This window comes from Homo sapiens, chromosome 12, assembly GCF_000001405.40.
Source record: "Homo sapiens chromosome 12, GRCh38.p14 Primary Assembly".
Taxonomy (NCBI): Eukaryota; Metazoa; Chordata; class Mammalia; order Primates; family Hominidae; genus Homo; species Homo sapiens.
In genome coordinates, this window is record NC_000012.12 from 47352011 (window position 1) to 47376896 (window position 24886).

The following is a 24886-nucleotide window of genomic DNA, read 5'->3' on the forward strand; positions in this document are numbered from 1 at the left end:
TGACACAAACAATTAACCATCAAATCCCACATCTCTAAGGCCTTCATGGCACCTAATACAAAGTAGGTGCTCAGTAAATGTTTTCTTATTGAGTGGATGAATGAATGTATTTTTATTATTTCCAGTGAAATCGTAAAGATGACTATGGATGAAGAACTACAAAGTTAGTAAAAAGTAACTGACAGACCGCTCTTAGCCTGCTAGCCTGCTGACAGATTGTACTGCTTAGGTTGATTGACAGTTACTCTCAGAGTATTAACTGTATAACTGAGAGTAACTCAAAGTAGTAACATGTCTACATATGGGGAAGACTTCACTTGAGTCTCACTGATCCTCAAAGCAGACACTCAAAATAAATGTGCTGTGAGTTTAGTTTAGATCCAGTCCAGATGCTATTTGAAGAAAGAAGGGAAAGGAAAGGAAAAGAAAGAAAGAGGGAAGGAAGGAAGGAAGGAAGGAAGAAAGGAAGGAGGGAAAGAAGGAAGGAAGGAAGTGAAGTAAGTTCAAAGTTACTTGTTTAAAAAATAAATACAAAGAAAATATTCTTTTCTGGCTGCCAATCTGTTAAAAAATTAAAAAGTAATATATAGTTTGGGGTTGTAATTATCAGGCTATTGTAATTTGCCCTAATTTTTGTACAGTTTTATTTATTTCAAATGTCCAATTTTAAGGAGAAGATAATAGACTTCAAATTATGGATAGAGAGATTGTAATAGAAATCTCTTCAGATACTAAGAAACCTGGTTTCATTTCATTCTCTTTGACATTTCATTCTCTTTGATCTTTAATATCCTTATCATTGGTCCTAAAATCCACTAGCTCTTTTTGGGTTACATGAACATTATTAACTTCAGATATTCTACAAGTCATGCATGTTGACTTGGGGTTCTGGTTTTGGCTATTATCTTATGCAGACTGGTGCCGTCTACCAGCAGCTTGGTACACACATTTTTTTCCTCACCAAAGATGGATTAAAGAAATAAAGTAGCAGAAGTTTTGTGAATAGTGGGTTTGACAGTAATGCATATACCAAGATATATGCTGGTAAAATGTATCCATCCAGCAGCCTTAATTTTTACATATAAAGTTGTCCCTTGGTATTCACGGGGGATTGGTTCCAGGACCCCCTGTGGGTACCAAAATCTGCAGATACTCAAATCCCTGATATAAGATGGTGTAGTGTTTGCATACAACCTATGCACATCCCCCATATACTTTAAATCATATCTAGATTACTTATAATGCCTAATATAATGTAAATGCTATGTAAATAGTTGTTGCATTGTGTTGGTTTTTTATTTGTTTTTTTGTTGTTGTTGTCATTTTAATTTTTTTCAGACATTTTTGGTCTATGGTTGGTTGTATTTGCAGATGCAGAATCCTCATATACAGAGGGCCAGCTGTAACTCATATGTTTTCAAGAGGATCTTCTCAATATAACAATGTGTAGCTTATGGCCAGGCACAGTGGCACACGCCTGTAATCCCAGCACTTTGAGATGCCAAGGCTGGCAGATCTCTTGAGCTCAGGAGTTTGAGACCAGCCTGCAAAACACAGTGAAACCCTGCCTCTATAAAAAATACAAAAATTAGGTGGGCATGGTAGTCTGTGAATGTAGTTCCAGCTACTTGGGAGGTTGAGGTGGAAGGATCACTTGACCCCAGGAGGTCAAGGCTGCAGTGAGTCATGAGTGTGCCACTGCACTCCAGCCTGTGCGACAGAGTGAGACTCCGTCTCAAGAAAAGAAAAGAAAAAGGAAACTGCAACGATGAACAGATCAGAATAGGCGACATGCACTGAACAAGGTAAAAAAGACAGAAAATTATCTGGAGAGGTGGCCGGAGGACACATCAAGAAGCGCCTTGTACATTGGTAAGGATTGTGGATTTTATGGTGATTAAAAGTTGCTGTGGGGTTTTTTGAGTACAGGAATGACTTAACCGGTATAATGTTTGTAAAAGGATCCATTTGGCTGCTGTGCAGAGAAATAGACAGGACAAAGTAAGTGGAGAAGCCAGGATACATACAGGAAGCTATGGTCATTGTCCTGGTGAAAGCAATCCACAACTTGGGCCTGGTAGGGACAAAGGTGAAAAGTTGCTAATTCTACATGTATTCTTTGATGGATTGGGCATGGAGAGGGAGAGAAAGGGAGTGGTCAATAAGATTCCAAAGTTTTGGGCCCAAGCAATTGAGTAAAACCGTGGTGACTTTTACTGAAATAGGAAAAACTGAGGTGGGTCAGTCTGGGGCAGGGGGAAATATGAAATTCCATTTGAGAGCTGTTAAGTTTGAGATATCTATTATATAATCAAGTGGGTATGTCAAGTAGGCATTTGTTGGTTTTTATAATTGTATTAGTCAGGGTTCTCTAGAGGGACAGAACTAATGGGATAATATATGATATATACATATATATGATATATATATATATATATCAATTGTACCCCAAACCTCAGCATCACATAATATACTCATGTAACAAACCCACACATGTATCCCTGAATCTAAAATAAAAGATGAAATTATAAAAAAAGTTATATTGAAGCGTGAAATATTGATTACAATTTTGAAGCATAAAATATATCGATTATTATCATGGTTATTACTGAGTATCAACTTGATTGGATTGAAGGATGCAAAGCACTGATCCTGCGTGAGTCTGTGAGGGTGTTGCCAAAGGAGATTAACATTTGAGTCATATATATATATATAGATATAGATATATAGATATAGATATAGATATAGTTTAGTAAGTATTAACTCACACAATCACAAGGTCCCACAATAGGCCATCTGCAGGCTGAGGAGCAAGGAAAGCCAGTCTGAGTCCCAAAGCTGAAGAACATGGAGTCTGATGTTTGAGGGCAGGAAGGGTCCAGCATGAGAGAAAGATGTAGGCTGGGAGGCTAGGCCAGTCTAGTCTTTTCATGTTTTTTTGTTGTTTTTTTTTTTTTCTGCCTGCTTTATATTATAGCCATGCTGGCAGCTGATTAGATGGTGCCCACCCAGATTAAGGGTGGGTCTGCCTTTCCCAACCCACTGACTCAAGTGTTAATCTTCTTTGGCAACACCCTCACAGACACCTGCAGGATCAGTGCTTTGCATCCTTCAATCCAATCAAGTTGACACTCAGTATTAACCATGATAATAATAAATATATTCTGTGCTTCAAAATAGTTGTAATCAATATTTGACACTTCAATATAACTTTTTTTTATAATTTCATCTTTTATTTTAGATTCGGGGATACATGTCTGGGTTTGTTACGTGGGTATATTATGTGATGCTGAGGTTTGGGGTACAAATGATCCCATCACCCAGGTATTGTTCACAGTACCCAATAGTTATTCAACCCTTGCTCCCCTTCTTCCTTCCTCCCTCTAGTAGTCCCCACTGTCTACCATTGCCATCTTTATGTCCATGAATATCCAATGTTTAGCTCCCACTTATAAGTGAGAACATGCGGTATTTGGCTTTCTGTTCCTGTGTTAATTTGCTTAGGGTAATGGCCTCCAGCTGTGTCCATGTTCCTGCAAAGAACATGATTTTGGTCTTTTTTCTGGCTGCATCAAGTAGGCATTTGGATATGAAGTCTGGTGTTCAGGAGAGTTTGGGGCTGGAGACAGAAATTTGTAAGTTATCAATATCTAAACTAGTGCTAACCAGTAGACATACGAGGCAAGTTACATATGTTTTCTAATAGCTATATGTTAAAAAGTGGAAAAAATAGGTAACATTAATTTTAGTAATGTTTTATTCAACTTAATACATCCAAAATCTCATTTTATTGTATAGTCAATATGAAAATATTATTGTGTTGTTTTACATTCTTTTTTTTATAAGTCTTTGAACTTCAGTATGAATTTTACATGTGTACCACATCTTGATTCAGACTTAATAGCCATGTGGCTAGTGGCTACTGTGTTGGACAGCACAGGTCTGGATGGTGTTTAAAGCCAATGGACTGGATATTGAGAGACAGTATAGATAGAAAAGAGAAGAAGCCCAAGAGACCCGAGGACTGAGCCCTTGGAAACTGCAGCATTTAAAAGTCAGGAAAAAGAAGAGGAGGATCCCCAATAGAAGAGAAAAAGAATAGAAATGCTGTCTTGTTAGGGGAGCAGGATATGGGTGTATGCATTTATCAAAACTGATTGAACTGCACACTTAAAATTTATGCATTTCACAATATGTAAATTATGACTCAATTTTAAAAAGCACATTCTAAAAATAGAAGAGAGAGAGAGAGAGAGAGAATCAAATGGAGAAAACAGTGAGGATGGTGTGGGGTTCCAGAAACAAGTGATCAACTACGTCAAATGCTGGTAAGAAGTCAAGTGAGATAAGGACAGAATTAACCAGAGAATGGGCAATGGAAGGTCATATGTCACCGTGGCAAAAGAAGATTTGAGAGAGGGGATGAAAGCTTGATTAGAAGTTCATTCGAGTGAGAATGGGGAAGCTTCTGGTCACAGATGGCTGATCTAACATGTGATTTTACTTCTGCTTCCCCTGAAACCTGACTAAATGACAGTAAATGGAATTTGTAATGACTTACTCACACCCCTGCCCCACTCTAACATGTACAGTTTGGAAACTGGAAAGCATCTAGGGAAGGATAAATGACTGAGATCTATGAAAGCTGAATTCCTAGTCAGCACTGGGGAAAGCAAGGAGCAATTTGTCACCATAGAACCCGCCAAAGGCTCAGAAATCTGTAATACAGGTTCAACCAAAAGTGAGGGGTGTAGGTGGGCCTGAGAACTGTTTAAAAAGCAATTTGATACCCAGATCAGGGTATCAGCAATTTGATACCCAATGTCCAGGAGGGACATTAATACAATGAAAGGAAGCTTTTGGAAGTTAAAAATATGAAAGCTGAAACAAAAATCTCAATACAAAGACTAGAAGGTAAATTGAGGAAAGTAGAGCAAAAAATCAAAGAGAAGGAAAACAGCAGAGAAAAGTAAAAAAGAAAATTAGATGATCAGTCCAAGAGGTCTAACATCTCAATGATAGGAATTACAGAAAGAGGGAACAACAACAAAAGAACATACATGAAGAAACAGTCAAAGGAAAAATTCAAGGAAATTTCCAAAGTGGAATGACAGGAATTTCTAGATTAAAAAGGCCCACCGGCCAGGTGCAGCAGCTCATGCCTATAATCCTAGCACTTTGGGAGGCCGAGGCGGGCGGATAGCCTGAGGTCAGGAGTTCCAGACCTGTCTGGCCAACATGGTGAAACTCAGTCTCTATTAAAAATACAAAAAGTTAGCTGGGTGTGGTGGCGGGTGCTTGTAATCCCAGCTACTTGCGAGGCTGAGTCAGGAGAATCACTTGAACCCGGGAGACAGAGGTTGCAGTGAGCTGAGATCGCACCATTGCACTGCAGCCTGGGAGACAGAAGGAGACTCCGTCTCAAAAAAAAAAAAAAAAAAGGCTACCAAAAACCCAGCATAATGAATGAAAGCAGACCCATAATAAGTCGTCTCATTATAAAATGTCATAATATCAGGCCAAAAGAGATGAAAGAATAGGTCATATACAAAGGATCAAGAGTAAGAATAGATTTGGATTTTTTAACAACAGTGGAAACTAGAAGTTAATGTAAAACAATGTTTTTATAATTTGAGAGAAAACTATTTCTGCCTTAGAATTTATATACACAAAGTCCTAAGTGTGAAGATAGGCTAAAGGCATTTTCAGACATGCTAGTCCTCAAACATTTACTTTTTATAGTTACTGCTGGAGCAGTAGCACGATGAAGGAGTATGTCAAGGAAGAGGATGACATGTCCCACCAACAGTGGCTCCGACTCAAGAAAGAAGGGACGGGAATCGCAGGATGTAGGTGACGGGGATTCCAGGGTGCCAACCGTGCAGCGGCCTCAGAGAGCAACCTGAGCAGATCGAAGCAAGTCTCCAGAAAACATAGCTCCAAAAAGATGAAATTGATATATTTGAACATATGGGAAGAACATCCACACTTCTGAAGAGGACTGGGGTCAAATTGCTGATAACTGCTTACATAGCTAAGCAAATTTTTAAAAAAGAATATTAACTTTAGGGAACATCGAAAGATCTTAAATAAAAAGTAACCATGATTTATCACATGGCTTGGTTGCAAGTAGTCACTTTTTCATAATAATGAAAACACTGAATACTGATCTAACCATAAAAATACTTTGACTCTATGGGGAGATGGGGGACTGGAAGTGTACATGTGTGTACAGATGTGACTAGGAAGGGGTGTGGGGAGTGCTGAATCCACGCATTCCTTAAAGAAGTCAGGATCATGTCCAAAACTTGGAAAATAATAGAGAGGAAGCAATACAAGAAAATTATTTAGAATTATAGCCATAATTTTTTTAAAGCTAAAAGACTCGAGGCTGGGCTCCGTGGCTCAGGCCTGTAATCCTAGCACTTTGGGAGGCCGAGGCGGGCGGATCATGAGGTCAGGAGATGAAGACCATCTTGGCCAACACGGTGAAACCCCGTCTCTACTAAAAATACACACAAAAAAAAATTAGCTGGGTGTAGTGGCGGGCGCCTGTAGTCCCAGCTACTTGGGAGGCTGAGGCGGGAGAACAGCGTGAACCCAGGAGGTGGAGCTTGCAGTGAACTGAGATTGCGCCACTGCACTCCAGCCTGGGTGACAGAGTGACACTCCGTCTCAAAAAAAAAAAAAGACTTGATCACAATTTCTTGGGAAGTGAAAAATAGGGAGAAGGAATGAAAAGTTGTCAATTGCAGCACTTTTTGGCTCTCTAATCTATGCACCTATATAAATTTGATTTAAAAGTTTAAAACTTTTTTCAAAACATGGAATGATGATATAAAATGAAGACAGAAAGTATACAGCAACACTGTCCAAAAGAAGTTTCTTCAATGATGGAAATTACATCCAATATGATAGCCCCTTGAAATGTGACTAGTGTGAGTGGGGAATTAAATTTAGAGGTTTATTAAATTTAAATCAATTTACATTTAAATAGCCACGTATGGCTAGTGGCTGTTATATTAGACAGTGCATCTATATACAATGGCCTGCTCCTATCTAGAATCAACTTTCCTTTTATAATTGAGCCTTCTTTCTTCTTCTAGTTTTTGTTTGTTTGTTTGTTTGTTTCTAAGCATTATTTATTTATTTATTTATTTATTTTACTTTCTCAATTTTTATTTTAGGCTCTGTGGTAGTTGTGTAGGTTTGTTACACAGGTAAATTGCATGTCACTGGGATTTGGTGTACAAATGATTTTGTCACCCAGGTAGTTAGCACAGTACATGACAGGTTGGTTTTTTACCTTCACCCTCTTCCCATCCTCCCCACTCAGTTAGGTCCCAGCGTCTATTGTTCTTTTCTTTGTGTCCATGTGTACATAATGTTTTGCTCCCACTTATAAGTAAGAACGTGTGGTATTTGGTTTTCTGTTCCTGCATTAATTTGCTTAGGATAGTGACCTCCAGCTGCATCCCTGTTGCTGCAAAAGACATGATCTCATTCTTTTTTATGGCTGCATAGTATTCCATGGTGTATATGTATGACATTTTCTTTGTACAGTCCATCATTGATGGGCACCTAGGTTGATTCCATGTCTTTGCTATTGTGAATAGTGCTGCAGTGAACATATGGGTGCATATGTCTTTTCGGTAGAAAAATTTATATTCCTTTTGGATATATACCCAACAATGGGACTGCTGGATCGAATGGTAGTTCTGAGTTCTTTGAGAAACCTCCAATCTGTTTTCTACAGTGGCTGAACTAATTTACATTCCTACCAGCAGCATATAGGCATTACCTTTTCTCTGCAATCACACCGGCATCTGTTATTTTTTGATTTTTTAATAGTAGCCATTCTGACTGGTGTGAAATGGTACGTCATTGTGGTTTTGATTTCATTTCTCTAATGATCAGTGATGTTGAGCATTTTTCGTGCACTTATTGGCTATGTGTATGCTTTCTTTTGAGACATGCAACTGACCCTTCTTTCTCTCCTGTGTAATCTTTTTGTCTGTTCTATGAATCCTTCCTACCAGCATGCTAAAATGTTATTTACCTTTTTTTTTAAAGTGCTGTTGCTTTGACCCCCATCCCTCTGTGACTATCCACCCCATTTTCTGTTCCTTTATAGCAAAACTCCTCAAAAGACTTCTGTATACCTCAGCTGTCCTACACAGCAGCCACTAGCCACATATGGCTATATGCATTTAAATTAATTGAAATTAAATAAAATGTAAAATTCAGTTCCTCAATTTCACTGGCCATGTTCCAATCACTCAATAGTTATGTGTGGCTCTCGGCTTTGCCTTGAGGAGAGACAGGTACAGAATATTTCTATCATCTCAGGAAGTTCTATTGGGCTTTGATAGAACTTTAAGCACTGATAGGAACAGGAGGGAGGGCCAAGTAAATGGGTACCTTGCTGGCAGTTTGGTAGATTTGGTGCTGGAAGGATAATAAAATTATCTCCTAGTTATTCTTTTTTTCTCAGTGGAATAAAAAATAAGTTCATCAGCTGAGAGTAAGGAAAGAGAAGGGACGCTCTAAGTAGGAGAATGAGAAGGTAGAAAACCTTTCCAGAGAGCAGGAGAGTGAATTGATAAAGGAAATAAAGAGTAAATATTCCTCCTCCTCCTTAACCTGAGTATGAAATTAAGGACAATAGGAATCATTATGTTTTCTTTTCATATTATTGCTGCTGTTCTCAGTGTTGTTATTAAAGAGGTCATCCTTAACACTGGGCATTCTAGATGGAGATGGAGGCATGAGCCAATTTTTCAGCTACTCCTTTTCCCCTGTAATTACTTTGAAATCAGGGATTACTGAGAAATCTCACTGTCGTGCTGTGACCACAACGTACACAGCAGGAAGGAAGGGGAGGTTCCTTCCTGGAGATGTTTTGCAGTGATAAGATACGGGCACTTCCTCAGTCAAGGGTCTTTTGATTTTAAGAAAGAGAAACCAACCCAAACAAACTTAAACAAGAAAAGGAGATGGACTGTAATGATACATGGGTGCCTCCTGGAACTTATAGGAGTACAGCTGGTCCTTATAGGAGCTTGACCCTGGGGGAGCCAGGAGACTAGAAAGCTCTCAGGAACAGGCAGAATCATGTTTCAAATCTCTGTGTCCCTCTCCCTCTTCCCTGCCCCACTGCCTGCACCTTGCCCCCATAAATATGGTTTCTCATGTCTTCTCCACAAGAAGTATTCTTTTCTCTTCTCTACAGAAAAGACCAGTTTTCTCTACAGCATTCTCAGCACACTTGATAGGTAAAAGATGGCCACTCCCATAAAGTCCTCCGTTCTTATTACCTCAGAACAAGCAAACTTCTCAAAGAAACAAGAACATCTCAGTCTCAGTTACAAAGTTCTGAGAGAATCTGATTAGTCAAACTTAGGACAACTGCCCAATGTGGGTTCAAACAACTCTGCTCGGGGACACGGCCACAGGTACAAACTTGACTTCCAGGGCCCATTCCCCCAGGGTGTAGGGCAGTTCTCAGAGCTCATTGGCTCCACCCTCTGGGAAGTCCTTTCTGTTCTATTATCTGCCTTGGTCATACTTGAAGTATTGAGCTACACAGCTTTCCACGTCCTGCCCTGAATTAGGGTGGTGCCTCAGGCTTTTTAGACCAGGCTTACAGTTTCTTTGTACTACTGAACGACTACCTCAAAAACCAGGAGGCCCCATCTATCTGCTTCCAGACATTTCCATGAGCAAATAACCATATTTAGAATTGTGTTTGAGGGACTTCTTTTATTTCTGCTTCATTCTTGTGCTTTCTTGTCCTCAAAACATCCTCCCTCTGCCTCTCCCCCGCACCTTCGTGGCCAGGACCTCGATTTAAGTAATTTTAATCCTCTAAAGTTTTAACAAGTTGTAAAAGTTGATCTAACCTTTGCCCTGAGGCATTTAATCAACTGATACACACACAAGTATGTATGTATGTATCTATGTGTGTGTGTGTGTATACATATACATATATATATATTTTTTTTCTTTTTTCCTAGCACTTTTTACTCAAAGCCTTTAAACTCTTCAGATTCTGAATCTAAAAGCAGTTGGTTTTTTCAAATTTATAAGACTCCAAATTTTTGGATTATCTTTATTCCCTTTTATTATTCATTATAAACTGGTCATTTCTTTCTGGAGTTGCTTCTCTCTCTCTCTCTCTTCCCTCCCAGTACTTTGCCAAACACAACCAGAAGCAACCACATATATAATAGCAGCAGTACAATAGGTGAATGGTCTTGCAAGGTAATCACAAGCAAAACCTTTACCAAATGTGTTGCCTTCTTCCCAGCATCTGATATCAGTTTCCTCTCTGTCATCAGCTGACTGCTAAGCCAGTATTTTAATTTTTTTTCAACAGCTTACCACTACTGGCCTCAGCATTTTTTTTTTTTCCAGTCAGGATAAGTTTTTTCACATTGCAGTAGCAACTTTCGCCTGGAATCTCAGTGGCCTTAATACAATAAAGCTGTGGGTCTGATGTGAGTCAGGTGAGTTCCCTGGGCAACTGCCCTGTGTGATGAAGTGGCTCAGTTATTGAAAAGATTTCTGTCGCTGGTTCTGTCATCTCAAGTCATGGGCTCCGAAATTGACCAACAAAGGAAAAGATCACAGGGAAAATTCACACCTGCTTTTCTAAGCTTTGATCCTGAAGTGAGACATATCACTGCTACTCAAAGTCCATTGACCAGGATTGGTTTTACCACTCCACCTAACTAGACAGGACCGGAAGTTATCTCTTCCATCGTCCTCAGCATGTTGAGAGAGCAGAGCTGTAAGATCAAAACAGCCTGGACAGTGGGGCCCCTAAAGTGAGGACCCCTGTCCTGGAGAGTGGCCCAATTGCACAGGAATTTACATGAGTGAGAAACAAAATTTTGTTGAAATAATACCCTGGGATTTGAAAATTTAATTATTCTTGCAACAGTCCATCCTATCCTGATTAATATGGGAACCCGAAAGATAGGAGTGAATGAAACAATATAGTTTCTTTTCCCTGAAGCAATTGTAATTCCAATCAAAATATCAATAGGATTTTTTTGGAGACTGACAAAATGTTGTAAAGGTCTTGTAGAATAATAGAGGAGTGAGAATAGCCAATACAACTGTAAATGAAATAATGAAGAAATAGTTTTATCCAATATTAAGATATTTTATAGGTAGAGAAATTATAAGAAATAAGAAAGCTGTTAATGGAGAATAAAGACCCCAGAAACAGACCCAAATACCTTTAAGAACTTAAAGTATTAATATTAATATAAGGCCATGTGCAGTGGCTCAGGCCTGTAATCCCAGCACTTTGGGAGGCTGAGGTGGGTGTATCACTTAAGCTCAGGAGTTCGAGACCAGCCTGAGCAACATTGCAAAACCCTGTCTCTACAAAAAATATAAAAATTACCTGGGTGTGCTGGTGCATGCCCGTAGTCACAGCTGCTTGGGAGGCTGAGGTGGGAGGATTACTTGAGCCCTGGAGGTCAAGTCTGCAGTAAGCCATGATTGTGCCACTGCACTCCAGCCTGGGTGACAGAGTAAGACTTTGTCTCAAAAAAATAAAATAAAATAAAATATAAATAAGGTGGTATTTTAAAGTTAATGGGAGAATATGAATAATTCAGAAATGTTGTGATGAACATGCCATTGGGGGAAAAAGTGCAGAAGTATCTTATGCCCAAACAAATTCTATGTGGATCAATAACTTGAATGTAAAATATGAAACCATAACAATACTGGAAAAATCATTGATCTTTTTCTCATAATTTTTAACTGGGGAAAAGTGACAGACATAAAAGATAAGATTGATAAATTTACTTATATAAAAGTTAAAACTTTTTCAAGACTAGAATACCGTAAAGTCAAGAGATAAACCACAGGATAGAAAAAAAAAGTCTGCAATTTATATAACAGGAAGAGGGTTAATTTCTTTTATATACAAAGCAATTAAAAAATCAGCAACAGAAAACTGAACAATTCAATAGAAAAATAAGTTTGCAACAAAAACAAAGCAAACAGCCAATAAACACATAACATTTTTAGCTATCTAAAAAAATCAAGGAATGTAAGTTAAAACAAGATACTGTTTTTCACTTTGTATATTTTGCAAAAATACTGGAGCTTGCACCCACCCCACCCAACCCCATTCTATGGTTTTACTTTCTGAGGTTTCAGTTACCTCTGGTCAGCCACAGTCTGGAATTTTCCATTTTGTATTTTCAGACTGCAGATGACCAGGGTAACTAAAACTTCAGAAAACAAAGTATTAAATGGAAAATTCCAGAAACAAACAACTTATACATTTTAAATTGTGCAGCATGGTATAATCCCATGGATAAAGGAGAACTACTGTAAAATGTTGATCTTACTCAAGAGTGTGGGAAACAGGACCACTCATGTATTATTAATGAAATGTAAATTGCTACAACTTTTTGGAAAGCAATTTGGCAATAACTATTAAAATTTAACAAGCACATTCTCTTAAACTCAGCAATTCTCCTTTCAGGAATTTTTCCCAAGGAAACGCTTTCACCAGGCGGCAAATATATACTGTATAGGAGTAGCATGATACTATTATTTGTAATAGTAAAAAAAAAAAAAAAAATTTAAATGCCCATCAAGAGAGGATTAAATAAACTATAGTGGCTCTGTAAAATGGGATATTACATAGCTGTTCCAAAGAACCAATGCATTTCTATGTCTTGATATGAAAAGTATCCAAACTAAACTGTTTTAAGTAGGAAAAAAAGGTAGAATACAATATCATTATAAGTGAAAATTCCTAGAATCACGTTTATACATATATTTATATACATGTATGTATATACATACAAATATCTGAGAAAAAAGAAATAATAGCTATGATTATCTTCAGCTATAATTACATTAAATATGGATTTGTAAGTAAGGAGGTAGGCGTTTACATTTCATACCCATTTGTAAGTTTTACAGCTTATGAATGTGTTGCTTTATGGTTAAAAACAAGATTTTAAACTATTAATCCTTTCATGCAAATATTAATTCTCCATTTCTACCATTCAATCTATATCTCAAAAAATTTGCATATACAAAAAAAACGGACCAAAGTTGTGGATGTTCAGAACATGTTATAAATGAGTAAACGAAGTCACCAATCATCATGAGAGGGGAGCACAATCTTTAGAAAGTCAAGCCCTGTTTCCACAGCAAGGAAAAATTCCCCAGGTTTAAGTGGTAATGGTTCTCTATCAACATTCCAAAAAGAAATTCAGTAATAATAGTAGTAGTAGCTGACATTTACTGAGTAGTGACTAAGTTGGATTCAGCAGTCAGCCCTTTTACACGCATCTTTTCTCTTTTTTTTTTCTGGCAGAGTCTTGCTTTGTTGCCCAGGCTGGAGCACGGTGGCATAATCTCGGCTCACTGCAACCTCAGCCTCCTGGGTTCAAGTGATTCTATTACCTCAGCCTCCCGAGTAGTTGGGATTACAGGTGTGCACCACCACGCCCAGCTAATTTTTGTATTTTAGTAGAGACAGCATTTCACCATGTTGGCCAGGCTGCTCTCAAACTCCTGACCTCAAGTGATCCACCCACCTTGGCCTCCCAAAGTGCTGGGATTATAGGCATGAGCCACGCCAGGCCAGGAATCTTCTCATTGAATCCCACAGACTCCATGTAGCAGGGGCACCAGGGCCAGTCCCATTCTACCAACGAGGAAACTAAGGATCAGAGAGTGAAATTAAGAAATCACACAAGAGACTCAGGGCTTGAGTTTCAAAGCACTTGTAATATGCTTCACTGCTGACTCCACCCCTTACTATGTGTCCTCAGTAAAGTGGCTCTGCCAGAGGCGTTTGAACCAGAGGACTCCATCTTGAATAGGGACTGGGTAAAATAAGGCTGAGACCTGCTGGGCTGCATTACCAAGAGGTTAAGGCATTCTAAGCCACAGGAAGAGATAGGAGGTCGGCACAAGATACACAAGGTCGTAAAGACCTTGCTGATAAAACAGGTTGCAGTAAAGAAGCCAGACAAAACCCACCCAAACCAAGATGACAATGAGAGTGACCTGTGGTCATCCTCACTGCTACACTGCCACCAGCGCCATGACAGTTTACAAATGCCATGGCAAAGTCAGGAAGTTACCCTATAGCATCTAAAAAGGGAGCAACCCTCTGTTCCTAGAACTGCCTACTTCTTTCCTGGAAAACTCATGAATAATCCACCCTTTGTTTAGCATATAATCAAGAAATAACCATAAAAACAGGCAACCAGCATCCCTCAGGGTTGCTCTGCCTATGGAGTAGCCATTCTTTTACTCCTTTACTTTCCTAATAAACTTGCTTTCACTTTGCTCTGTGGACACGCCTGGAATTCTTCCTTGCATGAGATCCAACAACTCTCTCTTGGGTTCTGGACCGAGATGCCTTTCCAGTAACATCTTCACATTCCCCTTCAATAAAATGTGCATAGTAATAAAGCCTACTTGGGGTTGTAGCAGGGATTAACTGAGAAAACACAGGTGATATGCTTAACTCAGTGCCTGTTACATGGTAAGTCCTCAGTAAACGTTAGACACTGTTCTTATTTTTGTTGTTGTAACAAGGCTGTTCATGATATGGTCTCTACTGAGCTGTCCACATTGTTTCCATGCTACCTCCTGGTCACCTTCCACTTCCCCTGCAGCTGCCCACCCTCTGTGCCTCTGTTTCTCCCTTCCCTAGAGCGTTCCTTCCCACTTCCCACCCCTTCTTCACCCACTGCTTCTACTTACCCTTAAGACTTGCTTGAAGTATCACTTCTTCCAGGAAGCTTTCCTTGACTTCATGTGAGTTAGGTGCTCCTTCTGTGAGCTGCAATAGGAGCCTGTGCTTCCCTCTCCTATTGTATTTATCAAACGGCAACACTGTAATTTTCTACCCTCTTAGTCTGCCACCACCCACCAGTCTGTGAGTTCTTGAAATGACAAAAACTGTGATTTCTTTATCTGGGTTCCTCCAGTATTTAGCCCATAACCTGACAATTAATATTTGCTAAATGATTTAAGCGGTGAGTGAAAGAAGATTAGGCAACTCCCATGGCTACTTGTCCTGGGACCTCTGCTGACTACTCCCAGGAGGTTATTCCTTTCTGAAAGTGGGATGTAAGTCAGGCAAACAGAATTATTCATTAAATTATTATTGCTATTTGCTTATATTATTGTTCTAGGTGCTGAGACCACCATAGTGTCAAAAAACAAAATTACAACAAATTTAGTATAAAGATCTAATTGGCTTTTATTAATAATTCTAGAATCAGGCAACATCTCATCCTATAAAATAAAATGGGTTTTCCGATGAGCTGAGAAGACGAGCCTGGCTTTATAGGCAGAAAAGGGCTGAAGAAAACAGAAACAGAGAACAAAAAGCAGATGCTTTGTTTCAAGGTTAGTACCCTGATAGTGTTAAAGCAGAAGGGACTTCCTGGTCATACCATCTTAAGGTAAGCTGCTCCCCTTTTGATTAGTTGCTGTGAATCTCATTCGCTCTCTATTTTTTTTTTTATTAGAAAGCTGGCCTATTTCAGAGTTCAGTTTGATTATGTGGCATTTAACATGAATGACTCCATTCTGGTCTGCTGGGCCTAGTTCAGGAGCCCAGTCCAAAACAATAGTCTCCCATAAATTTCATTTAACAATAGTAAACAAGATAAAGTATTCTGCCTCCCCGGTGGTTACAGTCTAGAAATGGATGGGAAGATAATCAAAATAGCATTAAGTTCTAGAACAAAAGTAGAACAAAATTAAGAGTAGGGAGTGATGAGGGCAAGGAGCTAATTTAGACTGGGTGGTCAGGAAAGGCCTCTGAGGACGTGACCTTTAGGCTGAGAACTTAATAATGAGAAAGATAAAATCTTGTAAAAATCAGGAGCAGAGAAACTTGAAAGACACTGGGTGGGCATGAGCCTGCGTTTTCGCAGGCAGAGGGTCAGTGTGCCCAGGGCCCAATTTCACCAAATGAGGTCAGAAGGGGTCATGACCAGCTCCGGTAAGTCCTCTTAGGCCATGATAAGCTGTCTTGATTTAGTTCTGCCCACAACAGGAAGCCACAAAAGGGTTTTTACAAAAGGGAGTGAGATGATCTGACTTAATATTTGTGGATTACTCTGGTCTCTGTGCAGAATAGAAATTGTACCAGGTTCTCACAGTATTTCCGTGAGATGATTGCAGCTTAGAGCTAGAGATAAAGAAAAGAGGATGAATTGAGGCTGTCTTGGGGAAGATGACAGCACTCACTGATGGAGTATATGAAGGGAGTAGCACGGGACAAGAGGAATCAAGAGTGATTCCTGTGTGAGACTGGAGCCACAGTGTAGTAGATGGTGGTGTCATTTCCTAAGTTGATAAAGAGACTAGAGGAGAAGTGAGCTTGAGGGACAGAGGTGGAAGGAACCCAAAGTTCTGTTTAGGGCATATGAGGTGGAGATGCTATTAGACTTTTAAGCAGAGTATAGAGGCAACCCGCTGCCTCTACAAGCCTGAAGCTTAGTGGACAGATCAGGAGTGGAACTGTAAACCTGCCAATCATCAGCAAGGAATGACTTTAAACAGGGAGTTGAACAGATAAGCTGGGCCACGTAAATATTGAAAGAGGATGGGGAGAGGAAAAGAAAGAGAAGTGGAGGGGAGGGAAGGGGAAAAGAATAAGGTCCCAAATCAATCTTGGCCGTCCTCAAAGAGAGGAGATGGAGGAACAGCAAGTGATTGGGGAAGGAAATCCACCTAGGAGAGGGTGTGCTATAGAAGCTGGAGGAGAAAGTGAGAGGTTGAAGAAAGTGCTAAAGGATAGGGTCAGAAAAGCAACAAGTGACCAGATTTGGCAAAATAAGTCATTAATCACATTGATTAGAACCGTTTTGGGGAGTGATGGGTTCAACAGCTCAATGACAGTGAATTGAGAGAACGAGAACTGAGAAAGTGGAGACAGTGCCTCTAAACAGCACTTTAAAGACATGTTGTATGGAAAAAAACAAGATTGTAACAGGAGGGAGAAGGTCAGGGAAGAGTTTTTTTTGGCTTTGGTTGACTTGGTTTTTAAGATGCAAGATTCCGGCACCTTTGTATGCCTTTGGAGTTAGAGAGAGAGGGGCTGGATGCAGAGCCAGCCTGAAAAGGTCCTGAGAAGGTGAGGGGGGCTGGGGTCCAGGAGCTAGCAGATGGTAAGGTTGGCCTGAGAGAGCAGCCAACTCCCCCACTGAGGCCTAGGAAAGAGCACGTGGGCAGAGACAGCTGCAGGGTACAGTTGATGAAGGGAAGGTCTAGTCTGCAGCTTGAAGCTTCTTTGTGAAGTTTGAGAGGAAGACATCAGCTAGACTATGAGGGAGGGGGAGCAGGTGTTGGAGCTTTGAAGGGAGAGCAGCTATAAAATGCTTCCTTGTAGGATGGGCCAGGGAATAACCCCGGGAAGTGCAGGCGGGGCTCCAGGCCCTGGGAGAACCCATCAATATTTGTGACCCTGAATTAAAGGAAGACTAGTTAAGTAGGTGGATGATACCGTGTTGACCAAGATGGCTTGGGAATGTACAATCCTGGCATCTGAGGAAACAGACCTGGCAAGAGGCAGTAATGTGAAGTAGCCATCTCTCTGAGCATGCTTTCCTCACCACTTCTTCCTTCACAGGATCCGGTTTTGTTCAGGTGTTCACACGAATCATGAGATTCACAGGAATGGGAAGCCGAACTCATTCCCAGCTCCAGAAGTGGATGCTGATATTTTAAACCAATCACCAGATGCCATTCCTTTGATGATGATGATTAATTTGTCCAGGGGCAGGTATGAGACCCAACTTGAACTGGTCAGACAGAAGGGAAGGACATAATTCCAAATGGACACCTGTTCTCTCTCCTACCAGTGAGGAAAAGGAAACGAGATGTCCAGCTGTTGGCCCCAGTCATAAGAGGAAGCTGATGCTGCGGATGAAGAGTGGAGCAATGGAAATAATCTGGGGTCCAGTAACATTGCTAAACTACTGATTCAACTAGCCTTTCTTTTTTTCTTTTCTTTTTCTTTCTTTTCTTTTTTCTTTCTTTTTTTTTTTTTTTAAGAGACAGGGTCTTGCTCTGTCACCTAGGCTGGAGTGCAGTGGTGAGATTATATCTCACTGCAGCCTCCCACTTCTGGGCTCAAATGATCTTTCCTCCTCAGCTTCCCAAGTAGCTAGGACTATAGGTTCATGCCACCACACTGGGCTAATTTTTAAATTTTTTTTGTAGAGACAGGGTCTTGCTATGTTGCCAAGGCTGGTCTAGAACTCTTGGCCTCAAGTGATGCACCTTCCTCTTCCTCCCAAAGCACTGGGATTACAAAGGCATGAGGCACCATGCCTGACTAACCATGAAGACTGCTTTATCTCTGAATAAATCCCCTTTTTTTAAAACCCAGCTTTTGTGAGGGTTTCTGTTACTTGCAGCAAAAGGGTCCTGATGGACACAGTTGTTTTTGCAATGTATGAGAAATCCTCAAAACTGGCTTTTCCCATGCTTGCCTTCCTCTCCGTTACACGCACTGCCTAAAGCAAAGTGACTGCTTCCTCGGGAGTCAGGTTTTAAGGTCCCTGGGGTAGTTCTGCTTCCACAGTTTAGGTTTACCAAGAGGCAGATATGTTTGTCCACGAGCTGGTTTTGCCAGTTGCACTTGTTTTTGTAATTATGTAAAGCAATGAAATATGAGTGAGGGAAAGAATTGCTGTTGTCCAAAATCCAAACTGAATGCTTTCCATAAACAGTAAAGACAAGTTGCTTAGAAAACAAAGCAAATACAAAACAATCTTAGAGTTTCATGCAGGTGAGGCAAGTGTAAAATAATTGGAAAATTTTGTTAAATCTAGAATAATTCTGAACTCAGATTGTTCCCCAACTGTCCTTCAGTTCTGGCTCTACTTTAAAGCTATTGGGACTGAAAACCACTGACTTTTTAAATGACTACACATGACTCCTATTAGATGTCACATGTCTTAAAAGAGGCCTTATCCCTTCAAAATACTGTCAAATGAAAGAATATTTATATGTTTTACTTTAGTAAAATATTAAAAATGTTTTCCATTTTTAATGTTTCTTTGCTCTAACTGACTAACTGCTTTAACTGATTACCCAACTAGCTACCAGTCTGGTGGCTTCTGAGTAAATGTACCCCTGTTCCTCTTTAGCCCCTTCTCCTACCTGGTCAACCTACTGCCCTCAGTCTCTTTCCTTTCTCCATCTTGTCAGCATAGAACAGTACAGCATCAATAACAACTGATTTTTGCAAAATTATAATTACAATAGCAAGAGTATTTTTCTTTTTTTTTTTGTTTTGAGATGGAGTATCGCTCTGTCGCCCAGGCTGTTGTGCGGTGGCATGATCTCGGCTCACTGCAAGCTCCATCTCCTGGGTTCACTCCATTCTCCTGCCTCAGCCTCCCGAGTAGCTGGGACTACAGGCGACCGCCACCACGCCCGGCTAATTTTTTTGTATTTTTAGTGGAGACAGGGTTTCACCGTGTTAGCCAGGATGGGCTCGATCTCCTGACCTTGTGATCCGCCTGCCTCGGCCTCCCAAAGTGCTGGGATTACAGGCATGAGCCACTGTGCCTGGCCGAGTATTTTTCATTTTAATAAAAGTTCTGGGAGGATCTACACTAAAGTGTTAACTGCTATTTCTGCATGAAGAGACTGTGGATTTTTTTCTTATTTTCATGTATGAGGATAATAATGATGTGTACTAGTATTGACTTGGTTATAACAAACTAAAAATAATCTTTTAACCCAAGAACAAAGAATATTTTGTCTTTTTATGAGAATTTACTTTTTACAGAGAACTTTTAGATCCATTGAATCAATGGTACTTCACAACTACACTGCAAAGAAAACATTTATTCCTGCTTCCCGATGAGGAAACCAAAATGGGAGAAGGGGAAACCATGTGGCCTCAGATGACAAAGCAAGTAAGAAATAGAGCCTGTTTAGATGCCCAGGTCCCTGATGTCTGCTTCAAGTAGTTTTTCGTTTCCCTCAGCATCACTAAAGATTTAATGAAAGCAGATTGATCATAGCTAAATATGCTTCCTCTGACAGAATGAAGAGCATTTGGCAATGTAAAAAAATAGAGTTTTAAGTGATGAAAGCGCAAGTCCAGAAGGAGACTGGGAGAGGAGGAAGGCCTTCACAGCACTGTTGGGTACTTCCATACAAGGCCAGTGTCACGTAGGATACGGTGGCTTCCTTTCTTGATCAACCACCCCCCAAGACTTCAAATCAGCTCTGTTAGTCTGTACTGGAAAATGTGGGCCCACTGTTTAACCTCTTTGGGCTTCATCATTGTGTTCTATTAAATAGGAGTGATGATAGTCACAAGATTGTTGTCAGAATTTGAAATGTTGATGTATATAAAGCCCTTAACACAGCAGCTGATGGGTTCTAGCATTGTCATCATAATAAAAACTAGTAATACTGTTAGTAGTAATCACACCACTGCTGCTTTAACGGGAAGTAGCAGACTTGCTGAGGGCTACCAGGCTGATGGGCACTAATGCTGGAAGATCATGAATCAGAACAATACACTCTAAGGATTCATCAAAACTATTATAATTTTTCTAAGCTTATCTCAGTTCTCTTCATTCTTATGCTGAGAATTTGACTTCTCAGAGTTTTTTGGGCAACCTCTTTATCACCTTTATCATCTATTTTATAAGAATTATCACCTCCACTACCACAAACCTCATTGGTAGTGTTAGACAGATCACTGAGGCAGAAAGCGAACACAGAAATTCTGGACTTAAATTCAACACTTGACCAAATTGTACCTAATAGACATCTATAGAATACTCCACCCACTGACAACAGAGTATAGTCTTCTCATCTGCATATGAACACACTCCAAGAACAACTACATGCTCAACTATAAACCAAGTCTTAATAAATTCAAAAAATTTCAAAATAATACCAATCATATTCTTGGACCACACTGGAATAAAAACAGAAATCAATACCAAGATGATCTTTCAAAAACCACACAATTACATGGAAATTAAACAATTTGCACTGGATTGGCTTCTAAACAATGAATTTAAGGCAGGAATAAAAAAATTATTTGAAATAAATGAAAACAGAGACACAACATACCAAAATCTCTGGGATGCAACAAAAGTAGTGTCAACAAGACAGTTAATAGCCCTAAATGCCTAACTCAAAAGGTACAGAGGTCTCAAATTAACAATCTAGCATCACACTTAGAGGAGCTAGAAAGACAAGAAGAAACAACTCTAAAGCTAGCACAAGAAAAGAAATAACTAGGACTGGGCATGTTGGCTCATGCCTATAATCCCAGCAGTTTGGGAGGCCAAAGTGGAAAAATGATTAAGTCCAGGAGTTTGAGACCAGCCTGGGCAAGGTGGTAAGACCACAGGGCAACACTGCAAAACCCCATCTCTACCAAAGTAAAAACAAAAATAAATATTAGCCAGGCATGATGGTGTGTGCCTGTAGTCCCAGCTACTTGCAAGGCTGAGGTGGGAGGATTGCTTGAGCCCAGGAGTTCAAGGCTGCAGTGAGGTATGATCATGCTACTCCCCACCAGCCTGGATAACAGAGCAAGACCCTGTTGAAAGAAAAAAGAAAGAGGAAAGAAAGAAAGAAGGAAAGAAAGAAAGAAAGAAAGAAAGAAAGAAGAAAGAAAAAGAAAGAGAAAGAAAAAGAAAGAAAAGAAAGAAAAAAGAAAAAGAGAAAGGAGGGAAGAAAGAAAAAGAGAGAAGGGAGGGAAGGGGAGGGAAGAAAGAAAGAAAAAGAGAGAGAAAGAGAGGGGGAGGGAGGGAGGAAAAGTAAAGAAGGGAGAAAGAGAGGGAGGGAGGAAAAGTAAAGAAGGGAGAAAGAGAGGGAGGCAGAACAGAACTGAACAAAATTGAGACCCAAAAATCCACACAAAGAATCAACAAAAACAAAAGGTGCCTCTTTGACAGCGTAAACAAGATTGATATACTGCTAGTCAGATTAACAAAGACAAAGAGAAGGTCCAAATAAGAGCAATAAGAAAAGACAGAGGTGACATAACAACCAATCCCACAGAAATACAGAAGATCCTCAGAGACTATTATTAACACCTCTATGTAAACAAAGTAGAAAATCTGGAGGAAATGGAACAATTCCTGGAAATACACAATCTCCCAAGATTGAATCAGGAGAAAATTAAAACCCTGAACAGAACAATATTGAGTTCCATAATTGAATCAGTCATAAAAAAATCTATGAACCAAAAAAAGCCCAGACCAAATGGATTCACAGTTGAATTCTACTAGACTTACAAAGAAGAGCTGATACCAATTCTATTAGAAAAAGTCAAGGAGGAGAGACTCCTTCCTAACTCATTCTACAAAGCCAGCATCACCCTGATACTAAAATCTGGCAAAGGCACACACAAAAGCAAAACTACAGGCCAATACCCCGGATGAGCAGAGACACAAAAATCTTCAACAAAATACTAGCAAATGGAATCTAGCAGCACATCAAAAAGTTAATATACCACAATCAAGTAGACTTTATTACTGGCATGCAAGTTTGGTTCAACATACACAAATCAATGAATGTGATTTACCACATAAACAGAATTAAAAAAAAAACCATATGATCATCTCAATAGATGCAGAAAAGTCTTTTGGTAAAATTCAACATCCCTTCATAATAAAAACCATCAATAAACAAGGCATAGAAAGGACATACCTCAAAATAACAAGAGCCATCTATGACAAACCCAAAGCGAATATGATACTGAACAGGCAAAAGCTAGAAGCATTCCCCTTGAGAATAAGGATGTCCACTCTCACCACTCCTCTTCAGCATAGTACTGGAAGTTCTAGCCAGAGCAAGCAAGAGAAGGAAATAAAAGGCATCTAAATGGGAAAAGAAGTCAAACTATCTCTCTCACTAACAATATAACTCTACACCTAGAAAACCCTAAAGACTTCACCAAAACCCTCTTAGAACTGAGAAACAACTTCACTAAAGTTTCAAAATACAAAATCAATGTACAAAAGCCGGTAGTATTTCTATACGTCAATAACATTCAGGCTGACAGCCTAATAAAAAAATGCAATCCCATTTACAATAGTCAAAGAGACCCTAAAAAACCTAGGAATACATCTAACCAAAGAGGTGAAAGATCTCTGCAAGGCAAAGTGCAAAACACTGCTGAAAGAAATCATAGGTGACACAAACAAATAGAAAAACATTGCGTGCTCATGGATTGGAAGAATCAGTATTGTTAAAATGACTGTACTGCTCAAAGCAATCTACAGATTCAGTGCTATTCCTTTCAAACCACCATGTCGTCTTTCACAGAATTAGACAAAAACGATTCTAAAATTTAAATGGAACCAAAAAATAGCCCAAATAGCCAAGGAAATCCTAAGCAAAAAGAACAAAGCCAGAGGCATCACATTATCCAATTTTAAACTGTACTATAAGCCTACAGCAACCAAAACAGCATGGTACCGGTACAAAAACAGACATGTAGACCAATGGAACAGAAGAAGAACTCTGAAATAAAGCGACAAACCTAAAGCCATCTGATCTTCAGCAAAGTTAACAAAAATAAGCAAAGGGGAAAGACTGTCTATGCAATAAATGGTGCTGGGATACCTGGCCTGCCATGTGCAGAAGAATGAAACTGGACCCCTACTTTTCACCATATACAAAGATTAACTGAAGATTGATTAAAGATTAAAATGTAGGACCTCAAACTGTAAGAATTCTAGAAGAAAACCTAGGAAACACTATTCTGGACATTGGCCTTTGGAAAGAATTTATGACTAAATCCTCAAAAGCAATTGCAACAACAACCAAAAAAATGACAGGTGAGACCTAATCAAACTAAAGAGCTTCTCTGCACAGCAAAAGAAACTATCAACATAGTAAACAGACAACCTACAGAATGGGAGAAAATATTCACAAACTATGCATCCAACAAAGGTCTAATCTAATGCAGAGAATCTATAAGGAACTTAAACCATTGAACAAGCAAAAAACAACAGCATTAAAAAAGACATTAACAGACACTTCTCAAAAGAAGACATACAAGAGGCCAAGAAATATATGAAAAAAATGGTTCACATCACTAATCATCAGAGGAACATGAAATCAAAACCACAATGAGTTACCATCTCATACCAGTGAGAACGCTATTAATAAAAAGCTATTAATACAAGTAAAAATATCAAATGTCATCAAGGCTGCAGAAAAAAGGGAATGCTTATACAGTGTTGGTGGGAATGTAAATTAGTTCAGCCCCTGTTTGGAGATTTCTCAAAGGACTAAAGACAGAACTATCATCTGACCCAGCAATCCTATTACTAGGTATATACCCAAAAGAAAATAAATTGTTCTGCCAAAAAGGCACATGCACTTGTATGTTCATTACAGCACTATTCACAATAACAAAGACATGGAATGAACCTAGGTGCCCAGCAACGGTGCATTGGATAAAGGAAATGTGGTACACATACATCATAGAATACTATGCAGCCATAAAAAGAGCGAAATAATATCCTTTGCAGCGACATGGATGCAGCTGGAGGCCATTACCCTAAGCAAATTTACTCAGGAACTGGAAACTAAAAGCCACGTTTTCTTATTTATAAGTGAGAGCTAAACGTTGGGTAATCGTGGACATAAAAGTGGCAACAATAGACACTGGGGACTATTAGAGTGGGGAGGAAGGGAGACGGGCAAGGGTTGATAAACTATTGGGTACTATGCTGACTACCTGGGTGACAGGATCAATCATACCCCAAACCTCAGCATCAGGCAATATTTCCAGGTACCAAACCTGCACATGTACCCCCTGAATCTAAAATAGAAGTCAAAATTATAAAAATAAAAGAAAAAAGAAGTA

The 24886-nt window shown here is 39.5% G+C and overlaps 1 long non-coding RNA gene and 1 other non-coding gene across 2 annotated transcripts, besides 1 other annotated feature; one reads left to right on the forward strand and one right to left on the reverse strand.

The window, feature by feature from the left end:
• The first annotated feature begins 1757 nt into the window (after positions 1-1757).
• On the forward strand, positions 1758-19830 carry LINC02416 (long intergenic non-protein coding RNA 2416). The gene is made up of 4 exons (NR_183615.1): positions 1758-1872; positions 15282-15414; positions 17648-17800; positions 17880-19830. It is a non-coding gene; the product is annotated as a long intergenic non-protein coding RNA 2416 (long non-coding RNA).
• Positions 9572-9621: a silencer, noted in NCBI's record as "silent region_4389". NCBI's record gives its function as "represses an Ori minimal core promoter by ATAC-STARR-seq in GM12878 lymphoblastoid cells {active_cell/tissue: GM12878}" and the evidence as "EXISTENCE:reporter gene assay evidence [ECO:0000049][PMID:35858748]".
• Positions 12176-12259, reverse strand: MIR4494 (microRNA 4494). Its single transcript, NR_039715.1, has one exon. It is a non-coding gene; the product is annotated as a microRNA 4494 (primary transcript).
• Positions 19831-24886: the final 5056 nt, after the last annotated feature.